At 41.8% G+C, this 11,031-nt stretch overlaps 2 annotated features.

The window, feature by feature from the left end:
* Window positions 6,726–7,225: an enhancer, noted in NCBI's record as "H3K27ac hESC enhancer chr14:63765475-63765974 (GRCh37/hg19 assembly coordinates)". NCBI's record gives its function as "activates a minimal SCP1, AML or CMV promoter by ChIP-STARR-seq in primed H9 embryonic stem cells {active_cell/tissue: H9 hESC(primed)}" and the evidence as "EXISTENCE:reporter gene assay evidence [ECO:0000049][PMID:30033119]".
* Window positions 7,226–7,727: an enhancer, noted in NCBI's record as "H3K27ac hESC enhancer chr14:63764973-63765474 (GRCh37/hg19 assembly coordinates)". NCBI's record gives its function as "activates a minimal SCP1, AML or CMV promoter by ChIP-STARR-seq in primed H9 embryonic stem cells {active_cell/tissue: H9 hESC(primed)}" and the evidence as "EXISTENCE:reporter gene assay evidence [ECO:0000049][PMID:30033119]".

Below are 11,031 nucleotides of genomic sequence, written 5' to 3'. Positions count from 1 at the left end.
GAATTTTTTTTATCAGTTCTAGGAACTTTCTGGAGGAGGACTTAGGGTTTTCAAGGTAAACAATCATATCGTCAGCAAACAGTGACAGTTTGACTTCCTCTTTACCGATTTGGATGCCCTTTATTTTTTCTCTTGTCTGATTGCTCTGGCTAGGACTTCCAGTGCTGTGTTGAAGAGGAGTGGTGAGAGTGGGCGTCCTTGTCTTTTTCCAGTTCTCAGAGGGAATGCTTTCAACTTTTCCCCATTCAGTATTATGTTGGCTGTGAGTTTGTCATAGATGGCTTTTATTACATTAAGGCATGTCCCTTTTATGCTGATTTTGCTGAGAGTTTTAATCGTAAAGTGATTCTGAATTTTGCTGAATGCTTTTTCTGCATCTATTGAGATGATCATGTGATTTTTGTTTTTAATTCTGTTTATGTGGTGTATCACATTTATTGACTTGTGTATATTAAACCATCCCTCGTATGAAACCCACTTGATCATTGTGGATTACCTTTTTGATAATCTTTTTGTTGGATTCAGTTAGCAAGTATTTTGTTAAGGATCTTAGCATCTACATTCATCAAGGATATCGGTCTGTAGTTTAGTTTTTTGGTTAGGTCCTTTCTTGGTTTTGGTATTAGGGTGATGTTGGCTTCATTGAATGAATTATGGAGGGTTCCTTCTTTCTCTATCTTGTGGAATACCGTCAAAAGGATTGGTACCAATTTTTTGAATGTCTGGTAGAATTCTGCTGTGAATCCATTTGGTCCTGTACTTTTTTTGTTGGTAATTTTTAGATTACCATTTATTTCAGTCTTGCTGCTTGTTGTTGGTCTGTTCAGGGTATCTAATTCTTTGGTGATTTACCTAGGAGGGTTGTATTTTTCCAGGAATTTATCCATCTCTTCTAGGTTTTCTAGTTTATGTGAGTAAAGGTGTTCATAGTAGCCTTGAATGATCTTTTGTATTTCAGTGGTGTCAGTTGTAATATCTCCTGTTTTGTTTCTTAGTGAGGTTATTTGGATTTTTTCTCTTCCTTCTTGGTTAATCTTGCTAATGGTCTATCAATTTTATTTATCTTTTCAAAGAACCTGCTTTTTGTTTCATTTATCTTTTGTATTTATTTTTGTTTCAATTTCATTTAGTTCTGCTCTGGCCTTGGTTATTTCCTTTCTTCTGCGGGGTTTGAGTTTGGTTTGTTCTTGTTTCTCTAGTTCCTTGAGGTGTGACCTTAGAATGTCAGTTTGTGCTGTTTCAGTCTTTGTGATGAAGGCGTTTAGGGCTATGAACTTTCCTCTTAGCACTGCCTTTGCTGTATCCCAGAGGTTTTGATAGGTTGTGTCATTATTGTCGTTCAGTTTGAAGAATTTTTAAATTTCAATGTTGATTTCGTTTTTGACCCAACGCTCATTCAGGAGAAGGTTATTTAATTTCCATGTATTTTCATGGTTTTGAAGCTTCCTTTTGGAGTTGATTTCCAGTTTTATTCCACTGTGGTCTGGGAGAGTGCTTGATATAATTTCAATTTTCTTAAATTTATTGAGGCTTGTTTTATGGCCTATCATATGGTCGATCTTGGAGAAAGTTCCATGCACTGTTGAATAGAATGCGTATTCTGTGGTTATTGGATGGTAATGTTCTGTATATATCTGTGAAGTCCATTTGTTCCAAGGTATAGTTTAAATCTATTGTTTCTTTGTTAACTTTCTGTCTTGATGACCTGTCTAGTGCTGTTAGTAGAGTACTGAAGTCCCCACTATTATTGTGTTGCTGTCTATCTCATTTCTTAAGTTCATTAGTAATTGTCTTATAAATTTGGGAGCTCCAGTGTTAGGTGCATATATGTTTAGAATTGTGATATTTTCCTGTTGGACAAGGCCTTTTACCATTATATAATGTCCCTCTTTGTCTCTTTTAACTGCTGTGGCTTTAAAGTTTGTTTTTCTGATATAAGAATTGCTACTCCTGCTCACTTTTGGTGTCCATTTTCATGAAATGCCTTTTTCCTCCCCTTTACTTTAAGTTTATGTGAGTCCTTATGTGCTAGGTGAGTCTCCTGAAGGCAGTAGATGGTTGGTGAGTTCTTATCCATTCTGTGGTTCCATATCTTTTAAATGGAGCATTTAGGCCATTTACATTCGATGTTAGTATTGAAATGTGAGGTACTGTTGCATTCATCATGCTCTTTGTTGCCTGTCTACTTTGTTTTTTTTTTTTGTTTTGTTTTTGCTTTTTAACTTGTATTTTTGCTTTACAGGTCTTGTGTGGTTTATGCTTTAAAGAGGTTCTGCTTTGATGTGTTTCCAGGATTTGTTTCAAGATTTAGAGCTCCTTTTAGCATAGCAATTCTTGTAGTGGTGGCTTGGTAATGGCGAATTCTCTCAGCATTTATTTGTCTGAAAATGACTGTATCTTTGCTTCATATATGATGCTTAGTTTCGCTGGATACAAAATCCTTGGCTGATAATTGTTTTGTTTGAGGAGGCTGAAGATAGGGCCCCAATCTCTTCTAGCTTGTAGGGTTTCTGCTGAGAAATCTGCTGTTAATCTGATAGGTGCTTCTGTGTCACAGCTCTTAACATTTTTTTCCTTCGTCTTAACTTTGGATAACCTGATGGCAATGTACCTAGGTGAAGATTTTTTTTTTTTTTTTTTTTGAAATGGAGTCTTGCTCTGTCGCCCAGGCTGCAGTGCAGTGGCGCAATCTCGGCTCACTGCAAGCTCTGCCTCCCGGGTTCACACCATTCTCCTGTCTCAGCCTCCCAAGTAGCTGGGACTACAGGTGCCCGCCACCACACCTGGCTAATTTTCTTTTGTATTTTTATTAGAGATGGAGTTTCACTGTGTTAGCCAGGATGGTCTCGATCTCCTGACCTCATGATCTGCCTGCCTCGGCCTCCCAAAGTGCTGGAATTACAGGTGAAGATCTTTTTGTTATGAATTTCCTGGATGTTCTTTGTGCTTCTTGTATTTGGATGTCTAGGTCTCTAGCATGACCAGGGAAGTTTGCATCGATTATTCCCACAAGTATGTTTTCCAAGCTTTTAGAATTACCTTCTTCTTCAGGAATACCAATTATTCTTAGGTTTGGTTGTTTAACATAATCCCAGCCATCTTGGAGGCTTTGTTCATATTTTCTTATTCTTTTTTCTTTGTCTTTGTTGGATTGGGTTAATTCGAACACCTTGTCTTTGAGCTCTGAATTTCTTTCTTCTACTTGTCTATATGTGGTGTTTTCTGCCTGGAATAAATTTTCTCTCTCTCTCTCTCTCTCTCTCTCCCCACCACCCCCAATAGCTAACTAGAATCACCTCTCAAGGAAATCTCGCCTCCATGAAGGTTCTTAGCTTTGGTGGTTTAATGTTCTATTTTTGTGCTGGTCGGCCTCCTGCCAGGAGGTGGTACTTTCCAGAGAGCATCAGCTATAGTATTATGGGGATGACTGGTGGGGGGCAGGGCCCTAGAACTCCCAAGATTATATGCCCTTTATCGTCTGCTACCAGGGTGGGTAGGGAAGGACCATCAGGTGGGGGCAGGGCTAGGCATGTCTGAGCTCAGACTCTTGGTCAGGTCTTGCTGCTGCTGCTGCTGTGGGGGATGGGGGTGAGATTCCCAGGCCACTGGAGTTGTGTACCCAGGAGGATTATGGCTGCCTCTGCTGTGTCTTGCCGGTTGTCAGGGAAGTGGGGGAAAGTCAGCCGTCACAGGCCTCATGCAGCTCCCACGCAAACCAAACAATCTGTCTCACTCCCACCGTGCCCTCCCACCCAACAGCCCCCCAGACCGTTTCCAGGCAGAGGGGAATCTGGGCTTGAAAACCTGCCCCAGGCTATCTGCCTCCCAGCTTCCAAAGAAAAGGGCTTGGTTCTTCCCCGGCCTGTGGAGTCTGGACACCGGATTTGCGTCTTCCCCTGAGTTCTGGCCAGGAGGCTTCTCACAGAGTCCAAACTGTTACAAAGTTCAGCTAGACAATTCCTTCTTCCTGTGGAGTTTTACCCCCTGCTCCTCTGGCCACCCTCCTGATGGATCCCTGTGGTGCCATGCAGGAATGGGCTGCTTGGGGACCCAGCGAGCTCCCAGGGCCTTTCTGCTTCTTCCTGTACCCCTGTATTTCCCTTGGCTTTCCAAATTGACTCAGCTTCTGGTAAAGTTGGAAACTTTTCCAGCAAACAGACCTTCATCTTCTCCAGTGCAGGTGTGTGTTCAGGAGAGGAGGGTTTCCCTTTCCCCCTTCCACAGTTGGGGCACTCACAGTTTTGGGGGGGTCTCCTGGGTCCTGCAGGAGCAGTCCGCTTCATTCAGAGGGTCTGTTAGAATCAGAAGTGTGTTACTTTGTAGCTAATAAATGGTAAAAAGGGGAATTTCCTGGAATTTTATTTTTCAGTGGGAGCTTTTTAATTTTGAAACAGTGTTTCTCTCTGTCACCAAGGCTGGGGTGCAGTAGCACGATCTTGGCTCAATGCAGCCTTGACTTCCCAGGCTCAAGGCTCAGGCAATCCGTTGGTTTAATGAATGGGATTGTCTGGAATTGTATACAGGGAAGTCTAGTAGGCTTAGAGGCTTGTGGTTGTGATCCTAGAGTGTCTGAAGAGGGTACTGAAGCTTTCTGAGCAGGTGATATCTGGGACAAGAACTAGGGAAGGATGAGAAAATAAGGGGAGCAGGTGTAAAGCACTGTAATTGGCAATGTAAGGCAGGGATTTGTCTCCAATGTTAAGAAATGTAGAGGGATTATTCTATTCTCTTTTCCAGGTCCTCATTATCAGAAATAAAGTAAACCTTTCCAAGCTCTTTGGATTTATATTTGACCCTAAGTTCCTCTGGCTGTACAATTTCTTTAGCATACTAAATAATTGAGTTTTTTTAATAAAGGCTTCCTGATACACAAGAACAGTTAGTTATATGCTTTGACCTTGATTGTGAGCCACTGGGGCTTTGGAAAGTCATGCAAAGCCAAAAATACAAACACCTCCTTATCCACGCCCCTGACAACACCAAACAAACAGACATTCGCTAAAAGACAAAAAACATTTTATTTTAATAAAGAATATCAATAATACTAAGAATAGTAGTTTTCTTTTGGTAATTTCAAAGAATTACAAGCAAGGAATAAATGTGACTATCTCCAAGTTGCAAATGTGAGTTAAAATTGTTTGAAAGAGCATTTATTCACTGAAAATAAACTGTACACATACACAATAAGGGATATTGATGAACTATTAATAGTTATTATCTCGAGGAAGTATATACATACAGAATTATGCACTTAAAATAAAAATTTTATCCTGTTAGTTTGCAAGTTCTTTCTACATGAAATGCATGAACAGATCATGCTTTCTTGGTTTTACTGTGTTGCTCACGTAAAGATTATTCAGGTGATGGCTTGGCACGGTGGCTCATGCTTGTGATCCCAGCACTTTGGGAGGCCGAGGCAGGCAGATCACTTGAGATCAGGAGTTCAAGATCAGCCTGGCCAACATGGTGAAACCCTGTCTCTACCAAAAATACAAAAATTAGCCGGCTGTGGTGGCACATGCCTGTAGTCCCAGCTACTTGGGAGGGTGAGGCAGGAGAATCGCTTGAACGTCGGAGGCAGAGGTTGCAGTGAACTGAGATCACACCATTGCACTCCAGCCTGGGCAACAGGGTGAGACTCTGTTTAAAAAAAAAAAAATTTCTTCAGGTGACCCAACATGGAGGAGTGAGCCGTCAAAGTCAGACGATCTAAGCTTCCAGACTGTTTTGAACCTCCCATCTTCCATTTCTTCTTGGAATCTGCATATCAAAATTAAAATATTTTGGGGGACCAGTTTTACTGAGTGGAATTAAACTATCCAGCATTTTAAAATATGTTGGACATGTTTTTAAGAGGAAGATCTTGTTCAGCTTTTGGCTCCTGCTTGAGCAAGCTCAAGGAGCAAATGCTGAAACATCTCCCCACTGCAATGTCAACTCATTAATGAGAAGCAAAGTCCAACTGAATTCAGCTGCAAATTTCAGCATTAACAAAATCTGAGCCAACTTCAGGACAAAGCCGAAAGGAACTAATGTACCATAAATTTACCCATGCCAACCTCTACGCTGCAGACAAGGCAAGGAGAATGTGTGGGTTCTGAGCAAGGGCAGGGCAGGGAGGGTTCTCTCCTTCAGGATGTGATCATTTCAATGTGCCTAATTCAGTAGAAATGTTTTTATTCAAATGAAGAGAGGGCTTTAGTTATCCTGGATGGGGAATTTATTTTACCACTACAGAAAAGGCACTGGGAATTAAACATTTTTAAGATTACAAGTAAATGGATTCTTGGAGGCAAATGGATTGTTGATACCAGTTTTCTCCCATTCATTTTTTTTGAAGAGGATAAAATAGACTTTCCTTTGTGGCCTGGGAAAGGAAGTAGCTGGGGCGGGGTGCCATGCTGTGGCAGGCTGTAGGAAGATAGGCAGGCCCTTGTGGTAGAAGCCCTTTTGGCTGCTTGCATCAGTGGTTACAAGGAAGAAATCAGGGATACATTTGCAATAAAGAGAAATAATCTGCTGGGCACGGTGGCTTACATCTGTAATCCCAGTACTTTGGGAAGCCGAGGCAGGCAGGTCACCTGAGGTCAGGAGTTCGAGACCAGCCTGACCAACATGGAGAAACCTCATCTCTACTAAAAAAAGACAAAATTAGCTGGGCGTGGTGATACATGCCTGTAATCCTAGCTACTTGGGAGGCTGAGACAGGAGAATCGCTTGAGCCCAGGAGATGGAGGTTGCCGTGAGCCGAGATAACGCCATTGAACTCCAGCCTGGGCGATAAGAGTGAAACTCCATCCAAAAAAAAAAAAAAAGAAATAATCTTTGGTAAGATTCTGTTTTGGGATTTGCTGAAACCCAAGAATGTTAGCTGCTTTGGCTAGCTGAGTGGCTCCCAGAGGTGACAGCTGTCCCAGTTTAAAAGCGTGTTTTTTTTTTTTTTGAGATGGAGTCTCACTCTGTCGTCCAGGCTGGAGTGCAGTGGTGCGATCTCGGCTCACTGCAACCCTTGCCTCCTGGGTTCAAGCACTGTCCTGTCTCAGCCTCCCAAGTAGCTGGGACTACAGGCACATGCCACCATGCCCAGCTAATTTTTGTATTTTAGTAGAGATGGGGTTTCGCTGTGTTGGCCAGGCTGGTCTGGAACTCCTCACCTCAGGTGATCTACCCACCTTGGCCTCTCAAAGTGCTGGGATTACAGGCGTGAGCCACTGTGCCTGGCCTTTAAAAGCTTTTCAGTTGAAAGGTAATCTTGGAACACAGGTGGGTTCCAGTTGCTTGGAGCATGAGGAACACCTGATTGAATGTCCTAACGTCAGACGTGTGTCTGCAAGTGGAAAGTGAAGCCTGCTGCAGGAAGAGGGAGGTGGTTGGTGCTTCCTAGAAGGGGTGGGCCTTTAATGACTGCACCTGCACAGTGCTATCAGGTCCTTATTGTGGGACCGAATCACTGACATCCTAATGAAAAAATTAGCTAGGCCATTTGCAGGTACAAGAGCACAGGTGGTCCTTGTGCTCTTTTTTGATTCGTTTGAAGGTAGGTGTGATTTGCCTTCAGGACTTCATCAGCAACAATAGGATTTGAATAAGTGGATAGGCTGCTGTATGTGGTTGTGTACAATTTTTAAAGGGCTCTTGTACACAGGGTGGGGTGTGGGCAGGGAGAACAAAGCATGGTCCCCAGTGATGTTTAGTAAAAATATGTCTAGAAAGTTAATAAAACTCTGGTCTGTGCTTAAGGCAATAACAACATGAGTCTCTGGCATGAATCTGTGTCCTGTTTAGAGGACAGGTTGTTTGTAATCAACCCTTATTCTGTCATCTAGAGTTCCGTGTTTTAAGCAATGAAGACAGAAACTCTATCAAAAGTTTCATGCCTCAGAAATTTGTTTTATCTTTACTTTGTGAGTTTATAAAACTTCATGTACCCTGAATCTTTCTTATGTCTTCGTGGAAAATAATTTTGGGGGAGCACTTTTTTCTCACCCTAATAAACATGAAAAAGACTTTCAGAACAGAAGTACTTTAGATCTAGCAGATCTAGCAAACCAGATGCTGCTTTTCTGCTTTTGATTCTAAAATATGCATATTCCTTTCCTGCAGCTGGGCAGCACATGACAAGAAAAAGAAAAGACTTCTGACAGCCCTTTTATTCATCCAGTAAATGTGAGCAACTCAAATATTAGCCTAAGGAACACTCAAAAGGTAGCATCTGAGAGACAGGCTAAGTTGATGGTTCTTCATTAGGCAGCTATGTGTTTGGATATAAAGACTGATGATGAACTTGGTTGTCTCCGAGACCAGTACTTCCCCTATTTCACTGTGTATACAAATCACTTGGGGGTCCTGTTAAAAATGCAGATTCTGATTCAGTAGGTCTGGGCTGGGCCTGAAATTCCACAGTCCTTGGTAGCTCCCAGGTAATGCTGACGCTGCTGGTTCCCAGGCCACATCTTGAGTCACAAGGGGCTGGACAATTTCTTGTTCTAACAAAGGCCTGGAGAAGGCAATTTTCTGGAATGGCAGATGGAGACACCCTCAGATTTCCCAGAAATATGAACAGAAAAAAGACGATTTAATGACTTAAAAGTCAGAACATGGCACAAAATAAATTGTAATGTTAAAAAATGCATAGAATAGGCTGGGTGCAGTGGCTCACGCCTGTAATCCCAGCATTTTGGGAGGCCAAGGCGGGCGGATCACAAGGTCAGGAAGATTGAGAACATCCTGGCTAATACGGTGAAACCCCGTCTCTACTAAAAATACAAAAAAAAATTAGCTGGGCGTGGTGGCGGGAACCTGTAGTCCCAGCTACTTGGGAGACTGAGGCAGAATGGCGTGAACCTGGGAGGGGAGCTTGCAGTGAGCTGAGATCGTGCCACTGCACTCCAGCCTGGGCGACAGAGCGAGACTCCGTCTCAAAAAAAAAAAAGCATAAAATAATATTCCAATAATTATGACACAGGCACACAGAATCACCATTACATAAGATGCAGATTGTAAGAACGCCATCCCGTGAGCAGGTCAGCCTGCTTCCCTTGACGATCATTTCCTCTGCAGAGATTACATTAGGAGGAACATGAACTGTTGCAATTGGGATAAAATTCTGCTGAGATGTACTTAAACAGTAATTACTGTTTACTCAGAGCAGAAAACAATTTAAACCAGGTGATGAGAAGGATGTAGAATTCATTAGTTTTCTTGCCCACAGCTCCTCTAGGAGAAAAGAATCTGATTGCTTGAAAAAAAATTGATTTAAAAAATGGCAAATGGAGGTAATTTTAGATATGTATTCACAAAGCTGCCCCAAACATACTGCCCTATTCAGAAGTTGTTTCTATTTTTTTTCCCCCAAAGAACTAACATAAGCTCAAAAGATTGAGACAGACTTGCACAGAATCACTGGGAGGCTAAGTGTGCTGAGGTTGCTTCAAGGCATGACTCAGGTGTGGGCCCTGGAGACCCTCTCCTTGTAGAGCCTCACACATCATTTCCCCTGTAACACTGATCAGATTCTGTTTGGCAAAGATCACAGCATATACTGGGAGGCTTGGAGGACATGGCTAAAAATACAGCAAAATTACTCCAGTTATAGTATCATGGAACTTCTGAGTCACTGCAGAACTCATAGAACAAAATGAAATGATCAAAGTAGAACATATTTAAAACACACGCACACACTGAAGCAACCCTAGTTTTTTGACATAATATCCTCTAAGGACAAAAACATAGATTGTGACCAAGACTAATGGTGCAGATTTTACTCTAATTTCCGGTAGTGGAATTTCAAAGCCAAGAACTATTGTTGAACTTGAATCTCACCATTTCACAGAGCAGCCAATCCCGCTTTGACTCATTCGTCCCCTAACAGAAAGAGATCTTCAAAATAGCACGGCGGAGCTTCTGATGGCTGAAGTGCTGCTGAGTAGAACTTGTGCTTTAATTTCCTTTCTGGTCTTTGTTGACCGTTGTGGCACTGTGAACTGTTGCTTTATCTCGTATTTTTTTTTCTGTTATTGTAGTTGTACATTTTAAATACAATCTTTCTATTGAGAAATATCACACTGACGGTGAATAAATATTATTCATGCAAGTAACTATCCTTCCAGCTATCCCCAAATCATCCTTTTCATGTTCCTGCTCAATGAAACTTTCAAAATCATTTATTCACTCATATTTCTTGGCAAGTTTTCCTTGATTGCCTGCTGTGTAGAAGCAGAGAAAGTGACAGGGTGATGTCCTCCATTGCTATTAAAGCCCCAAAGGGCTTTGCCCAGGGTTCCGCTTGTTTTTTAGTGAACTGTGAGGTGGAATTACCCAGGATTATCACATGGTTAGCCCTGTTGACTGACTCTGCCTAGATACCCAGAACCCTGGAGTGTTCTTCACGCTAACAGTCCTTTCTTCCTGTGCTTCTAGAGACCAGGCAGAAGTTACCAACTTCCCGGAATAATTGTCAGCTGTGCGTTTTGGTTGTTTGGGTTTAGCTTCCTCTCCGTTCTCTAAATATTTTCTTTTTCAAAGTGCCTCACTTCCTTTGTTAGAAACTAAGTTTCCCTGACCTTCTCTTTTCCTTTCTGTTTCTAATGGTCCTTGAAATGAAAATAGTTCGTTGAGTTTCCTTATGTGTACTTGGGCAGCCTACTCAATGACTCCTGGGAGAATAATAGCTGGTGACCTGTGGCGCTCTCCGTTGAGAGAGAATGCGCAGTTTGCATTTTGGCAGCTAAACATAGGGATGGATTTAAAAACGAATGTGTAAGTAGCTGGATAATAATTTCCAGTATGATGTCAACATTTCTTTAAAACAAAGCCTTAATTTCTAATCTTCTGTCACTTTGGTCTCAAGGATGAGTTTGCCTTTATGAATGTAATATGGCAATCTTGAAAGCCTTACCTCAAGTCAAATATTTCTTCTTGAAGATGTTCTACTTTGCAAGGTACTGCCCACAGGAACGTATACCCTAAATAATGACTTTTTTTGTTGTTGTTGGCTTCAAATTCTGGATTTAGTTTTATTTTCTCCTAAAA

This window comes from Homo sapiens, chromosome 14 (genome assembly GCF_000001405.40).
Source record: "Homo sapiens chromosome 14, GRCh38.p14 Primary Assembly".
NCBI lineage: Eukaryota > Metazoa > Chordata > Mammalia > Primates > Hominidae > Homo > Homo sapiens.
This window is presented reverse-complemented; position numbering and strand designations above follow the sequence as displayed.